Source organism: Homo sapiens, chromosome 20 (genome assembly GCF_000001405.40).
Source record: "Homo sapiens chromosome 20, GRCh38.p14 Primary Assembly".
NCBI classification, from domain to species: domain Eukaryota; kingdom Metazoa; phylum Chordata; class Mammalia; order Primates; family Hominidae; genus Homo; species Homo sapiens.
Genome location: NC_000020.11, coordinates 5840942 through 5857664, shown reverse-complemented (window position 1 = coordinate 5857664; position 16723 = coordinate 5840942). Strand labels below are relative to the sequence as shown.

Genomic DNA, 16723 nt, shown 5'->3' with positions numbered 1-16723 from the left:
TAACTTTTTTCTATTTTTTGTAGAGACGGGGTTTCACCACGTTGCCCAGGCTGATCTCAAACTCCTTAGCTCAAGTAATCTGCCCGCCTCGGCCTCCCAAAGTGCTGAGATTATAGGTGTGAGACACAGCACCTGACCAAGACTTAAGTTTTTAAAAATGAAAAAGTATCAGGATTTAAGGAAAGAAGGAGTATGTGGCTTATTAGGTTTCCTTCTATGCTGCTTGGATGGGAAGCTGTCCCTTTTTCAGGGCCCTGCATGGCACACTCCTAAGTTCCCAGGCCCCGCTTCCTTGGTTGGTCTGTTGGAGGCTCCCTGGGCTTGTGTGGCTCTAAAAATAGTCATGGGTCCCCTTTTAAACTAATGTTCATAATGGACTTATATGTTTAAAACATTTTAATTTGGCCGGGTGTGGTGGCTCAGCACCTTGGGAGGCCAAGGCGGGTGGATCACCTGAGCTCAGGAGTTAGAGACCAGCCTGGCCAACATGGCGAAACCCCGTCTCTACTAAAAACACAAAAATTGGCTGGGCATGGTGGTGGGCACCTGCAGTCCCAGCTACTCGGGAGGCAAGAGAATCACTTGAACCCGGGAGGCAGAGGTTGCAGTGAGCCGAGATTGCACCACTGCACTCCAGCCTGGGCGACAGAGTGAGACTCTGTTTCAACAAAACAAAACAAAACAAAATAGAAACAAAAACAAACAAACAAAACCTTTAATTTACAAATTAAATTGCAAATGGGAACATAAGATTTAGTTTAGACTTAGGTGAGTAGCAATACCAGTAAACTTAAATTACGTAACTTTTTGCAACCACAAATCCTGTAATGTGCTGTACAGTAACAAGTGTTGGCATTATCAGTTGAACTGCAAATATAAAATGCTTCTTCCAATTAAAAAATAAAATTAAAAGAAAATTTTTTTTAAAGTCACAGGCATGAAAATGACAAGGTGAACCAGGGAGTAGTGGGGGATGTTCCGGTCATCAATGATCACTTATCAGCAACTCTTGATGCACTATTCATCTTATGACAGAAGTCAGACTTCAGAAGCCTCACCATGCCCTGGATAAGGTGCCTCCATGTGTGATACTATCATTTTTAGTATATGAGGGGCCATGGGCCATGGATCTGGGCTAGTCTGCATCTTCCTGCTCCACGCCTCACTTTTTTCTCCTTCATTCCTTCTTCTACCCCCTCACTACTGCCACCCATTCCATGCTCCATGGAGGAAAGGAGGAGGGAACAGAATCATTGGGTGAACAAGATTCAGTCCCACCTCCAGCCCAGCCCTATGGGCTGCATGAGAGTCTGACTAGCACCTACCACTCTGTCTGTTTCACTGCCTCCTTCATAAATCTGGCTTCTTTCCTGAGCCTTGAAACAAACTTCTCTTTAGAATCTTTGCACTTGCTGTTGCTCTGCCATCGAACATGCTTGCTCCACATATCACGTCCTCTAGGTCTCTGCTCAGACGTTAATCAGTGAGGCCTTCTCAGTCAGAATGGGCCAGGTTATGCTGCCTAACAAGCAAGCCCCAAATATCCAGGGCATGAAACAGCAAAGGGTTAATTCTCATTACCCAGAGATCTGTGTCATACTACAAGTATACACATATACAAGTAGATCTGTTCATCCTCACCCTCACTCCAGAACCCAGACCAACAGAGCAGCTACTATCTCAACATTGCCTAGTGACTATAGCAGAGGAAAAAGAGTATGGGGAAATCAGCAGTGACTGGGACAGCTCTATTACTTCTGTTCATATTTCACTGGCTAACGTGAAGTCATATGGCCAAGCCTGATTTCAAAAGGATGAGGATGAAAGAATATCCTGTAGGGAGAGGCAGAGAATATTGGTGAACAATAATTCAGTTTACCATACATTTCCTGGGCACACTATTTCAAATTGCATTTCTCATATTCACATTAGCCAAGAGTTAGAAGCAACCCAGCTATCAACAGATAAATGGATAAATAAAATGTGGTTGGCAGGCCAGGTGCGGCGGCTCATGTCTATAATCCCAGCACTTTGGGGGGCCAAGGAAAGTGGATCTCTTGAGCCCAGGAGTTCAAGACCAGCCTGGGCAACATGATGAAACCCTGTATCTACTAAAAATACAAAAATTAGCCAGGCGTGGTGACATGCACCTGTAGTCCCAGCTACTCGGGTGGCTGAGGCACAAGAATCTCTTGAACGCGGGAGGTGGAGGTTGCCATGAGCCAAGATCATCCCACTGTACTCCAGTCTAGGTGACAGAGCGAGACTCTGTCTCAAAAATAAAACAAAATAAAACAAAATGTGTTAGTATGTGCACACAATGAAATATTATTCAGCCTTAAAAAGAAAGGACACTGTGACACACGCTACAACATGAACGAACCCTGAGGACATTATGCTAAGTGAAATAAGCCAGCCACAATAGGAAAAATACTGTATGATTCCACTTAGATGAGGTACCTAAAGTGGTCAGATTTATAGAGACAGGGTTGGGTGCTATGGCTCACACCTGTAATCCCAGCACTTTAGGAGGCCAAGGCAGGAGGATCACTTGAAGCCAGGAGTTTGAGACCAACCTAGGCAACATAGCAAGACCCTGCCTCTACAAAAAAAAAATTAAAAATTTAGCCGGCCATGGTGGTTCATGCCTGTAGTCCCGGCTACTTGGGAGGCTGAGGTGGGAGGATCACTTGAGTCCAGGAGATCAAGGCAGCAATGGACTGTGATCACGCCACTGCCACTGGACTCCAGCCTGGGTGACTGCACAAGACCTGTCTCTTAAAAAAAAAAAAGAGTCATAGAGACAGAAAACAGAATGGTGGTTACCAGAAGCTGGGGAGAGGGAAAAGGTGAAAATGCAGATTTAGTGTTTAATGGGTACAGAGTTTCAGTTTTACATGATGAGTTCTGGAGACTGGTTGACAACAATACAAATGAACTTAATACTACAGAACTATATGCTTCAAAATGATTAAGACTTCATGTTATGTGCATTTTATCATATTTTTTAAAAATTACATTTCTCCCACTCCCCTGAGTCTTGGCTGTCGCTATCTCCCTTCCCTGCCTTACGTTTCTTACAAAGCTAATATCTAAAGTCCCACTCATAGCTTGATTGCCTTTCTTGGGTTTCTGTGTTCTGCTAGTTTAGAAGCCTTAGTAACTTAAGGAGGAATGCTTCTACCAAGGAACACAATTTTATCATAGCAGAAGTGGAGGCTGGGCGCTGTGGCTCACACCTGTAATCCCAGAACTTTGGGAGGCCAACGCGGACAAATCACGTGAGTTCAGGAGTTTGAGACAAGCTTGGGCAACATGGCGAAACCCTGTCTCTACCAAAAAAATACCAAAAAACATAAGGCCGGGTGTGGTGGCTCACGCCTGTAATCCTAGCACTTTGGGAGGCCGAGGTGGGCAGATCACTGGAAGTCAGGAGTTTGACACAAGCCTGACCAACATGGTGAAACCCCATCTGTACTACAAATACAAAAATTAGCTGGGCATGGTAGAACATGCCTGTAATCTCAGCTTCTTGGGAGGCTGAGGCAGGAGAATTGCTTGAACCCGGGAGGTGGAGGTTGCAGTGAGCTGAGATCACACCATTGCACTCCAGCCTGGGCAACAAGAGCAAAACTCTGTCTAAAAAAAAAAAAAAAAATTAGCTGAGCATGGCAGTGAATGCCTATAGTCCCAGCTACTCGGGAGGCTAAGGCAGGAAGATTGCTTGAGGCTAGGAGGTGGAGGCTGCAGTGAGCAGTGGTCACATCATGCACTCCAGCCTAGGCGACAGAGCCAGACCCTATCTCCAAAAAAAAAAAAAAAGTAGACGTGGAGACTCTGCTATTATGAACAGGCAAATAAAAGGTGGTTGCAGTGCTGGCTAGGGTGTTTATCAAAGATCACCCTGAGCAACAGAGGCAGGGGACATAGTCTAGGGAATACCCAGGCAAACCTTCTGACACTAATGGGCAGGTTAGTAGATGACAGCAGCCCAACCCTGGACTACACTACTGAGGGTATACTTACATCAGTAATAAAAGTTTGGATCACTCTGTCACCTAAACAACCCAATCAGTCAAAGTTTTAGATTAAGGAAAAAACAGATAACCGTGGCCTTGTAACTATTTTCATAAAAGGTCTTGAATGAAAAACAACAAACCTAATATCACCTAAATACACACACACACACGATTTGTTTATTATTTATTTATTTATTTTTGAGATGGAGTCTCGATCTGTCGCTCAGGCTGGAGTGCAGTGGCGCGATCTTGGCTGACTGCAAACTCTGCCTCCCAGGTTCAAGCGATTCTCCTGCCTCAGCCTCCCGAGTAGCTGGGACTGCAGGCGTGCACCATCACACCCAGCTAATTTTTGTATTTTTAGTAGAGATGGGGTTTCGCCATGTTGGCCAGGCTGGTCTTGAACTCCTGACCTCAAGTGAGCCACCATGCCCGACCATTTGTTTATTTTCTATCTTCTCCCACTCAAGGATTTTTGTCTCTCTTGTTACCTGCTGTTTCCCCAGGGCCTAACACAGTGTCTGGCACATGGTAGATACCCAGTATATTTAAAAATTTGGATGTTTTTATTTGATGAGTTTTATTTTCATAGGCATAATAAACCTTTAATACACAATAGACCTCTTTCCTGTATGTTTAATAATTCCAGAGCCCAGGAACTTGGTACATTTGTGGAATGAATAAACAAATGAATGAAACAAAGGTAACCACTTCTGAATGAGAAACACAAGCAACAAAAGTTAAAAGTATGAGTAGCCAAACTCCTCTCTAGTCCCAACACACATAATACTCGGGGATATTTCCTAAAGACTGACATAGTTCAAGGATTTTTTTAAAAAACTTTATAATAGCAATAAAAGTAAGGAAGTCTACACACTCTAATGAAAGTGATTTGAGGCCAGATGCAGTGGCTCACGCCTGTAATCCCAGCACTTTGGGAGGCTGAGGCAGGCGGATCACTTGAGGTCAGGAGTTAGAGACCAGCCTGGCCAACATGGCAAAACCCCGTCTCTACTAAAAATACAAAAGTTAGCCGGGAGTGGTGGCATATGCCTGTAATCCCAGCTACTCAGGAGGCTGAGGCAGGAGACTGTCTTGAACCCAGGAGGTGGAGGTTGCAGATCACACCACTGCACTTCAGCCTGGGTGACAGGGCAATACTCTGTCTCAAAAGAAAGAAAGAAAGACAGAGAGAGAGAGAGAAGGAAGGAAGGAAGGAAGGAAGGAAGGGAGGGAAAGGAAGGAAGGAAAGGAAGGTGATTTGAGCAACATAATGCATCTAGATCTGTACTGTCCAATACAGCAGTCAGCCACTAGCCATATGTAGCACTGGGCACTTGAAATGTAGCCAGTCTGAATGGATCCATAAGCAGAAAATCACACCAGACTTCAAAAACTTAGGATGAAAAAATAATATTGTATTAGTCCGTTCTTGTGTTGCTATAAATAAATACCTGAGATTGAGTAATTTATAAAGAAAAGAGGTTTAATTGGCTCATAGTTCTGCAGGCTGTACAAGCATGGCGCTGGCATCTGCTAGGCTTCTAAGGAGGCCTCAGGGAGCTTTTATTAATGGTGGAAGGTGAAGCTGGAGCAGGCATGTCACACAGCCAAAGTAGGAGCAAGAGAGAGAGTGGGGTGTGAGACGCTACACTCTTCAACAGCCAGGTCTCATGAGAACTCACTCACTATTTCGAGGACAGCACCAAGCCATGAGGGATCCACCCTCATGGCCCAAACACAATACTACTCAGGGATATTTCCTAAAGATGTTAATTAATTTAATTTTAATTAAATTAAAATTTAATTAAAAATTTAAAAATGCCCCCCCGCCACCAGGCCCCATCTTCCAACACTGGGGATTACATTTCAACATGAGATTTAGACGGGACAGACATCCAAACGATATCAAATATATATCTCAGTAATTTAAAAATGTCAATTACATGTTAAAATGAAAATATGTTGGATATATTGAGTTAGATAAAACATATTATTAAAATTAATAGTTTAGGTTTTTATTTTTTCTTCTTTTTTGTTTTATGTTTTAAACTATAGCTACTAGAACATTTAAAATGACCTATGTTACTCACATAATATTTTTATTGGACAACGGCTGGTGTAGACTTCTCTTTTCTTTTTTTTTTTTTTAAGGAGACAGGGGTCTCACTCTGTTACCTAAGCTAGAGCAGAGTGGCATGATCATAGATCACTGTAGCCTCGAAGTCCTAGGTTCAAGGGATCCTCCCACCTCAGCCTCCTGAGTAGCTAGAACTGCAGGCATGCACCACCATGATGCCCAGCTAATATTTAAAAATTTTTTGTAGAGATGGGGTCTCACCATGTTGGTCAGGCTGGTCTCAAACTCCTGGGCTTAAGTGATCCTCTGGCCTCAGGCTCCCAAGTAGCTGAGATTACAAATATGAGCCACCATTCCTGGATAGACATTCTTTATAGTTGTGGTTTAAGAAAGCTTTGGTTCCAATAATCTTTCCTGAAGATTTGTGTTGAAGCTCCCAGAGATCAGGTGGCATTCGGATGGCAGCCATGTTGATTTGTGCTGTGCTACAATGTCCCCCACTGTTAGAGAGCATGAGACGTCCATACTAGTTGGTCTGTGTGCTGTATTGTCCTCCTTGGCCAGCTGCCCCTGGAGACCACTCCTGCAAAGAAGCAAGGACCAGCCTTCCAAAGTGGCCCACTTGTCCCTCCCTTTCATACTCAATAATTATGGAGCATCGACCAGCCAAGGCACAGGTTCAGCTCAGTGAAGGATGGCCAAGTTCCAGGAGGCAATGCAGAGTAAAGCCGGATGAGAAGTAAAGCTGGGACTGGGCGCCAGGTGCGTTGGCTCATGCCTGTAATCCCAGCACTTTGGGAGGCCCAGGCAAGAAGATCGCGAGGTCAGGAGTTAGAGACCAGTCTGGCCAACATGGTGAAACCCTCGTCTCTACTAAAAATACAAAAATTAGCTGGGTGTGGTGGCACACACCTGTAATCCCAGCTACTCGGGAGGCTGAGGCAGGAGAATTGCTTGAACCCGGGAGGTGGAGGTTGCAGTGAGCCGAGATCACACCACTGCACTCCCACTTGGGCGACAGAGCAAGACTCCATCTCAAAAAAAAAAAAAAAAATTAAAACTAAAAAAAGCTGGAACTGGGAAGGCAAGTCATCCTCAGACAGACCAGGTCGAGGAAGAAAGTTACTTCAGGGAGGGGAAGCCCAGTGCTAGGTGCAGACATGAGAATGCCCAAGAGCCTAGTGAGAGGTGGTCTGGAAGGTGCAGAGAATCCTTACAAGAGAGGAAGAAATGGGGTTAGGCTCTGGAGGGCGTGGGGGCTAGACTAAGAAGCCAGGTAAACACTTCTGCTAACCTTTCAACTTCAGGCATTCCTTTCCATAAACGTGTGCTCTTACTAGAGGGACTGGTACTCAATAGAGTGACTGGAAAGTTTGCCCAGGACAGTCCTGGTTTAGGCCTGTTGTCTCAGTTAATTATTATTATTATTATTATTATTATTATTATTATTATTGAGACGGGGTCTTGCTGTGTTGCCCAGGCTGGTCTTGAATTCCTGGGCTCAGGTGATCCTCCTGCTCCGGCCTCCCAAAGTGCTGAGATTACAGGCATAAGCCATCACCCTAGCCTCAATGAATTTTTTTTTTTTTTTTTTTTTTTTGAGACGGAGTCTCGCTCTGTCGCCCAGGCCGGACTGCGGACTGCAGTGGCGGAATCTCGGCTCACTGCAAGCTCCGCTTCCCGGGTTCACGCCATTCTCCTGCCTCAGCCTCCCGAGTAGCTGGGACTACAGGCGCCCGCCACCGCGCCCGGCTAATTTTTTGTATTTTTAGTAGAGACGGGGTTTCACCTTGTTAGCCAGGATGGTCTCGATCTCCTGACCTCATGATCCACCCGCCTCGGCCTCCCAAAGTGCTGGGATTACAGGCGTGAGCCACCGCGCCCGGCCCCTCAATGAATTATTAATGGCACCCCTTTTCATTTTCTAGAGGGCCCTTGATCACACAATTCATTACATGTATACATGTATTATGACACATTATGCAACCTGGTGCTGGAGGAGTGGGGCTGATATACCTGGGTTAACAGTGGAAAGTTCCTACCACACAGTTATGTCCCAGAGGGCTGAGATTTGATGCTGGAAATCATCCCAGTCCATGTTATAAACAATAAGGTGTCTACAGACTTTTGTTTTTGGCTAAACCTCCACGGATTTGTCCTATGACACTCCAAGCCAATCCTCCTTTCCTTTTCCCTGTTTTCACCACTGGCATTTCTCCCACTTCCTAGCTGTACAAACCTTTTGGTTACTGTCCAGCAAGTGAATTGGCCCTGATTCACTCTGAACCATCGGCACCTCGCTGGAGTTCTCTTTCTGGTTTAGTCTGGCTTTTCCCTGCTGCGTCGTAACACCAGGGTTGGAGTTCTAGGGCACCTTACATCCTATCTTATTAGTTACATAAAATTAGTTACAGAAAAACAATAAACTTAAGCTTCCTTTTTCCTAATAGCAACCCTGCCTTCCACGATTCATATATTTTAGAATTTGCAACTGTTCCTTTAAAGGACAAAACCACATCCTCACAAAGTGAGAGTGTGTGGATATCAAGATATTTAATACAAATTAACATTTCAAAGGGATGGATGGTTTGGTCAGGTGCTTTTGAAACCACAGTCTCTGTACTTGTTTATATCTGAAAGTTCAAACTGGATGAATCACTCAGAGGGAAAGTGGCATATGCTATCACCCTTCATCCTAATGACACACAGATGCCATGAGCAGAGGACGCGGTCCTCTAAGAGGCCACCACGGAGGAATAAAATGAATGCCGGAAAAAAAACAAAGACAGGTGTGTTTAGTAAATAGTCCTAAAAGTAGGCGCCAGGGCAATTTAATAAGACCAATGTTCTGATTTGTAAGCAATCTTCTACTTTGGCATTTTATATTTTTCTTGAAAAATTAACAGAGAACTGTAACATCCAAGCTCACACCACCCCAAATTGGCAATGAACACATTGTCCTATTTGCTTCAAAACTTTCTTCTTATGAAACACTTAAAGCTGACTGTTTCTTCACAGATATTATAGGTTGGTGCAAAAGTAGTTGTGGTTTTGACATTGACCAAAAGCCCCTCCCCAACTTTTTAAAAATTAATCTTGGCTCATTGCAATCTCTGCCTCCCGGGTTCAAGTGATTCTTGTGCCTCAGCCACCCTAGTAGCTGGCATCCAGCTAATTTTTGTATTTTCAGTAGAGAGGGGATTTTGCCATGTTGGCCAGGCTGTTCTCAAACTCCTGGCCTCAAGTGATCTGCCCGCCTCGGCCTCCCAAAGTGCTGGGATTACAGGCATGAGCCACCATGCCCAGCCCTCAGCCCATTTTTGATACCATATAAATATATACACACATACACACACATATATATGTATCCATATGCAAGAGTGTTGCTTTGTGTGTGGTAGTCATTTTAACTTTCAATATGCAAAGTTTTGCATTTTGTTTTCAAAATACAAAGTTTTGCATGCTACTTTATGATGTTTTACTTTTAGCCATTGCTGATTATGTAAAACTGCTCTATAGTATTCTAATATAGGAACATGCTACATTATTTTTCATCCATTCTTTTCTGATAGACAGGTAGGCTATATTTAATTTTCACTATCACAAATAAGGCCTCAGTGAACCTCCTGATAAATACCGCCTTGTGCACATGTATCAGGAGACTTTCTCCGGAAATACATCCAAAAGGAGAATTATGGAATCGAAGGGAATGTGCATTTTCGACTTGACTAGATCCTGCCAAATTGCTCTCCAAAATGGTTGTAGAATAACAATCACACCCCCACCAGCAGTGTTTGGGTTTTCCTGTTTCTCCACATCTTTGCCAAATTCTGATATTGTCAGACACTAAAGTTGTATCTCCAATTTGGGTTTCCATTTCCCTGACAACTTCTATGGCGGAGCTGCTTTTCATACAGTTAGGGGCCACTTGTGTTTCCTTTTCTGTGAACTGCTTATTCATATTATTGACCATGTTCCTACTTTTTTTCACTCTCTCTTTTTATCTTATTTCTTTTTAATGGCATACAAAATGAATTACACAGAAAACATTTTTGTCTGATTTCTCTGATTAATCTCACAATTAGATTATTTCCGTCTCTTACATGGAAAGCGATAAAAAGAAGGTGAGGGTGAAACAAGGACCTCCGGAGAAGCCACAGGGTTTGTTTTTGTTTTCTCAAGCAAAACAACCCTCACGGCATCGGCTTATCACTACCAAAGGTGATACTGGTTTTCTATTCTATTTAATAAAGAAGTCATGTACCAAGCTGGATCCAAGAGCAGGGAAAATATCCAGCTCTACTGTGTCTTATTTTCCAGATGAGAAAATTGAGACCAAGACCAAGTCTCCAGGATCACTGGAAGAAGGGGTTGGCAATTAGAACACAGAAAAGGTCTATCTGCTCATTAATTTTCTTCATTAATATGATCTTCATACCAAGATATGCAATAATTAACAACAAAGAAAAAAAAAACCCTAATATGATCTTCATATGGCTATCATTTGACGTCATTAGAACAAGTGCTGGTGATGATGGGCCGAGCAGGGGAGTTCGAGGGCTTCCCTAAAGGATTCAGATAATAAAAATTTAGGAACTACCGGCTTACAGCATAAAAATGATTAATAATCCTCTGTCTTCTTTTCCATGAAACTGAGGCTTACCCCGAGGCTTGTTTTAAAACAGCGTGGTTTTGCATTTTGCAATAAAGAAATAACCAAGTTAAAGGATCGGAACCTAACACTTTATAGCTAGAAAAGCCATGGGGAATTATCTGGATCAACTCTCCCACTTTCTGGACCTTGCAGCTTCAGCTGGAATAAATCTATGGTTCCCCCGATCCCGTCCACGTGTGGGGAACAGCTCTCAGGAGGCAAAGCTGTCAGACAAGAGAACCAGGGAGGCAATTTCCTTCAGGAGCCATTTGGAGCCAGGAGCTTCACTGAAACACTTAAAACAATCATTCAGGGATGTTTTTCCCCAGTGGTTTTTAAACTTTCATTTCACACACGAGGTTTCAGTAGATTTGTTTCATATCCTTGCCTAGATGGTAAGCAGCACTTGTGAGTAGAAAGGAAAAGCAATTGAGTTGGATCTTGGTTGCTATGGCAACATTGCTATTTTGATTACGACTGTTTACTGCGGCCAAGTCACATTAAATGTGAGCAGCTAATTAAGATGATGCTTCAAACGTCAACCTTACGCGTAAGAAAAATATAAGCACTTTAAAAATGACACCAGAGGGTTGCTTGATACATACATATTCAGCAGAGAGATAATTCCCCGTTTCCTGGGGAAGCAGAAACCTGATCCTTTTTCCTTCAAGAGGAGATTGTGGGCCTCCCACAATCTGTCCAAATCAACAAGTCAATATTTGGTAGTTCTTAGATTTAAAGAGAAACAGAACAAGATTTCTATCAAAACAGAGCCAGTTTCAGTGTTGACATTTGCAATAAGCCTTTCCCAGAGAAGGTAACATCTGTAATAGATGAGGAAAGTCTGGCGTTTTTCCATATGCCATAGAAGTTTTGTTAGATGTGGATTTTTGTAAACAGATTTCATTCCATATCAAGTCGACATTAAGTATATCTATGAAGTCAGAGAATGGATTGTAAACAAACACACTAGAATGTACTGATACAGCCGAGCACTTCCCCTTTAAAGTAATCACCCCAAGGGCCGAGCTCTTATTTGTAAAATGACATCGCTGAGAACCTGTTGGAGCCCCTTAGGAGTCATCTTCACTCCCTCTGGAAGCTTCTTATGAATGTCCTCATTGGTGACAAATCTCCATCCTCAGGGGACAGAATCTCCTTTTTAGAAACTGTTAAGAGGCATGAGGAGTGAAATCTGTAAATAATGTAGGTGATCAAGCAGGATAACATGGCCTGGGGTGAAAGGCAAGGTTTGTCTACAAAAGAAAATTGATTTTCTTATGTTACACATGCTGGTTCTCAAAGCAGTTTTCGCAAAGGTATTCTAACATCAGTTCTGTGCAATGCAGGCAACACAGTTTTACTTTCAAATATGTTACCTTGTAAGGTAGACTTAAGTTCTGGCCTTTGCAAAAGTTCATTGCCATAGATCAGAAATCTGGTTTTGTCCTAAGAGAAGAGATGTCTGTGAGCATGGACTTGGGAAGAAGCCTTGAGTTTGAGTCCTAGCAAGTCCTTTACTGGCTATGAGATCCTGGGCAAGTTACTTCACATCTCTGAATCTCCATGTCCTCATCTATAAGATGGGGTTAGTAACAGCTCCTACCTCATAGGGCTCTTGTAAGGATTAAATGATTTATTAGCAGGAAGCCCAGCACATGCTAAGTGCTCAATAAATAAAAGATACTTTATAATTAGTACCTTAGTAACAAGAATAGTACCCACAGCAGAGTTGTTAGAGTATTAAGGTACTTGTTCTTTAACGTCTGGGATTTTTCAAAGTGAATAGTGAATGCTTCTATTAATATATGTCTGGCTGGGCACGGTGGCTCATGCCTGTAAGCTCACCATTTTGGGAGGCCGAGGCAGGTGGATCACCTGAGGTCAGGAGTTTGAGACCAGCCTGGCCAACGTGGTGAAACCCCATCTCTACTAAAAATACAAAAAATATTAGCCAGGCATGGTGGCGTGCACCTGTAGTCCCAGCTACTCGGGAGGCTGAGGCACAAGAATCATTTGAACCCAGGAGGCGGAGGTTGCAGTGAACCGAGATCGCACTACTACACTCCAGCCTAGGCGACAGAGTGAGACTGTGTCTCAAAAAAAAAAAAATATATATATATATATATATATATATATATGTCTACTACACAGTGATAGATATTATATCAAAAGGAAACTCCAGACAAACAAGCATTTATTTGTAACTGTAACTGGAAGGAACATCAGCCTTACCAATAGCTACTGCCCCATCCTGGCATTAGAGTTGAAGGGATGAATCATAGTGAACATTACCCATCTCACAGCAGGAGGACTATGATTATACAGAGGTCCCTGGTGCACCCTCTGCAAAGTAAACATGATCCTAGTGTGGGCAGAAACAGCAGGTGCCTCAGTGTGTGGGAGTGTCAAACACAGAAGCCCAGGCTGGTAGAGCCCTCCAGCCATCCCCAAACACATCCCTCTAAGGGGGACCTGCACCAGGATGTGGGTGGGACTGAAATGACTCAACCTCCAGAGAGCCTGATGGTGGCAGTGGTTTTTGTAAGTTGATGACAGCTATTAATCAAGCAAAGAGCTTCAGGAAAAGTTTGAGTTAGTAAATACACTGAAGAAGAGAAACAGGCAGCATTAAAAATAAAACAAAAAATTGTGAAAATAGGCAGAGAAGATCTAGAGTTCACAGAATGACTGCTGGCTGAGTCAGAATCACAGCGCTGAATTAAACGGGCAAGACAAGAAGGAAACACCATGAGATCAGTTATAGGAGATCACTCTCAACACCCATGCCTCCCATTTACACTTGAATTTAAGGAGAGCAAAGCTTTGAGCCTTCTCTCCTGAAGCACATAACATTGGAGAACACAGAAAACTCAAAGAAACTGGAAAAAAGCCACAAAATCTAAAATTTGCGTGATACAACTTACGCAGAAAAGGAATATAGACAGAAGACAAGTGAAAACTGAGGCTAAGTGACAGAGAAAGATGGGTTTGGGATGCATTTGTGTTGGGAAATTTTCTAACATGAGTTATTAAGGGCTAGAAGTGAGGAATACATGGAATTGAATTTCCACCTTCGCGAGGATACCTCTAGTGTGGTCACAGAAATAGTTACTTATTTTTGACAAAAGAATATGGTAGACAAGATATTCTGAAAATCCTTCCTGTTACCAAACATCTAAAACTGTTGGATAAAATATTTTTGAAAAATCTTTTAAAATGTTTGACTGAGCTGGTAACAAAGCAAGGAAAGCCTGTACAGACCAAAAGCAAAATGAGAATAGAAGTTCTGAGAGGTCTGCAAACCCTGAGCTGGTGTCTAGACCTAGCATGTCAGCTTCAACGTCCACACAGGGTTCAGGACACAAAGCCTAGGGCCATGGCAAGGTGGGGGTGCTTAACAAGAAATCACCACATAAAGCTGAGAGCCCTGAAGTTACGCCACCAGAGAAAAAGTGAACTAGAGAACAAAATACGCCTTGTAAAAGGTTATAGTAAAACAAAACAAACAAAAACTTGTCTTGGCCTTGGCTCTGGGTAGAGAGAGAGAGAAAAAAAAGAAATATCTGCCCCAAGATTTAACCTGATAAAAGAAAATAAAAGGAAAAAAAAAAAAGAAAAAAACAATTGATCATGAGCCAGAACTCACATGTGTTTGTGCTCAAATTGAAACTATTTTTGTGGTCTAAAAACCTCTAAGCCAGCTATTTATTTTAATATGGTTCCAGACTGACATGCCCTCATATGTCTAGTGAAAGCAAGCGTAAACCTTAGAGGGATGTACTTTCAACCAAACACCAAAAGAAACCGTCCACACAGAGTTCCATTGAACATGAGCTCAAAATGCACAGGGAAAAAACAAATCTACCTTTACCGAGTGGGAGTAAGCAAAGTGAGCCAGCAAACAAGGCCCATGGTGGCTTCAGATATTGGCGTTAACACAATCAGGATATAAGGCAAATATGCTTAATATGTTAAAGAAATAAAATGGGAAGTTGAAAGTTTGAGTTAGGAACAAGAGACTACAAAAAATGAACAGGTAAATGAGAAAAATAAACAAAAAGCACAATGAGAAAATGTTAAATTACAGAAAAAGAAAAAATATAGTAATAGGTATTTATACCTCAGCAAATAGGTAAAACAAGACTAGAGTCCAGTGGAAAGATAATTAGAAAATAGAAATCAGAGTTGAAGATATTACTTACAATTTAGCATAGAGAGAGAGATAGAGAAAAAAATAAGAGATATGGAAGTCAAAGTGAGATGGTCCAACATGCATGTAATTGGAATTTCAGAAAGAGCTAACAGAGAGAACGAAGGAAAGGCAATGCACAATGAGACAACGAGTTAATGGGTGGGAATTTCTCAGAACTGATAAAGCACAAATCCTCAAATTTATTAATCACAATGTTCTGTAAACAAGAAGGCAATGAAACAAGACCTTCAAAGTTCCAAGAAAATAATTACCAACTTAGGGACGTGCAGGCAATGGTGAAGGAGTTAAGACATCAGTCTCTTAACTGGCCAGATCGACCAAAATAATAAATGTCATACCCAGATTGCCCTTATATCCAAAGCTCATTTTCTAAAAGTGCTTGAAATAGACAATATTCTTACCACTTAGGCTGATGTACAGAAATTTTATCTGAAGGTAGAGGAAGGAGCTACATACAATTTCAAGGTTTTCTATTCCTTTAGTGACACATCTATTTAATTCACCAAGGTAGTCCAGCTATCCTTGAAACAGTATTCCAATGCTAGACTCTGATCTCAAATCACACGTGATCATCTTAAAAGTATACAGTTCATCTCCACTCTATATTTTGTTTCTGAAAGTTTCATTCCATAATAAGCCAGTTATGCAAAATCATTCAACTTCAAAGTTGTTCTAGGTTGGTTTTATAAAAATTGTAAAGGCTATTAATGTTTTGTAGACAATGTTCTCTTTCTCCATAGTCAACTATTTCCATTTGCTTTTTAAGTAACTTTATCTTCCTAACTCAGCTCATGCGTGCTGCTCTAATAGCCTCTGCATTGCACTACTGAGTGTGCAGCCATTGGCCCACAGACAAAGATATCTATTCCAAACACTCTTTTGGAAAAAAGGGAAAATAATTATTTCTACTCTTTCATGATATTCACTCTTTGAAGAGATCATGAGAAAGAAGCTGTTTAAGCTTCAAGAAAGCAGTTAAATGTACTTTTAGTCAATAAATTATGCCAATCATAAGATAAACAGAGGCAGAAATTATGAGTCATGGAGTTATTACTGATAACATTTACTGCCTTATTAACATTTTAGAATTTTCTGTTATCTAAGGTTCTCCATAAATTTCATTTCACATATAAATGCATAAACCTAAAAAGGAATACAAATTTGAAGGATGCTATGAAGAAGAAAAAGAAATGAAAAATAACCTAATTATACTGGTCATTCTGGATGACTAAATTTTTTTGACCTCTAAGTGGCAAAACCTCAAATGCATTTGAAGCTTTAGCTCCTAATGGGGCCCCCAAAACACCCATGCACACAATAAATCTTTCATGCAAATTTCTGTTTTTCTATATTTTGATCTAGGTAGTGGTTATGTGGGTATACACCCACATATATAAAAATTCACCAAACTGTAACACATAAGATTTATGTACTTTACTATATGTAAATGGTATTCCAATTAAAAAAATATTTATGTATACATATGCATGTGCACACACACACACACACACACACACACACACACTCGCTATTTTCAGTAAGTTATGGATGTGGCATAGAAATTAAGTTTTTTCAAAAAGATTCCTAGATGGTTCTAATTGGTAACCACTATCCTAAGGCTACTGAAACATGCCTTGACAAGACATTCACTAAATATTTGTTTCAGTGAATGAATAAATGAATGAATGAATGAACAAAGAAACTAATAAATATCTTTTATTTATGGTTGTAGGTGTTCCATTGACTAAGGCCAG

General features: G+C 41.6%; 1 protein-coding gene across 5 annotated transcripts in view, besides 1 other annotated feature; it reads right to left on the bottom strand.

Moving 5' to 3' along the window:
• The window catches only part of SHLD1 (shieldin complex subunit 1), a 114203-nt gene that overhangs the window by 6731 nt on the left and 90749 nt on the right, over positions 1-16723 (bottom strand). The window lies entirely within an intron of this gene.
• Positions 13279-13348: an enhancer, noted in NCBI's record as "active region_17532". NCBI's record gives its function as "activates an Ori minimal core promoter by ATAC-STARR-seq in GM12878 lymphoblastoid cells {active_cell/tissue: GM12878}" and the evidence as "EXISTENCE:reporter gene assay evidence [ECO:0000049][PMID:35858748]".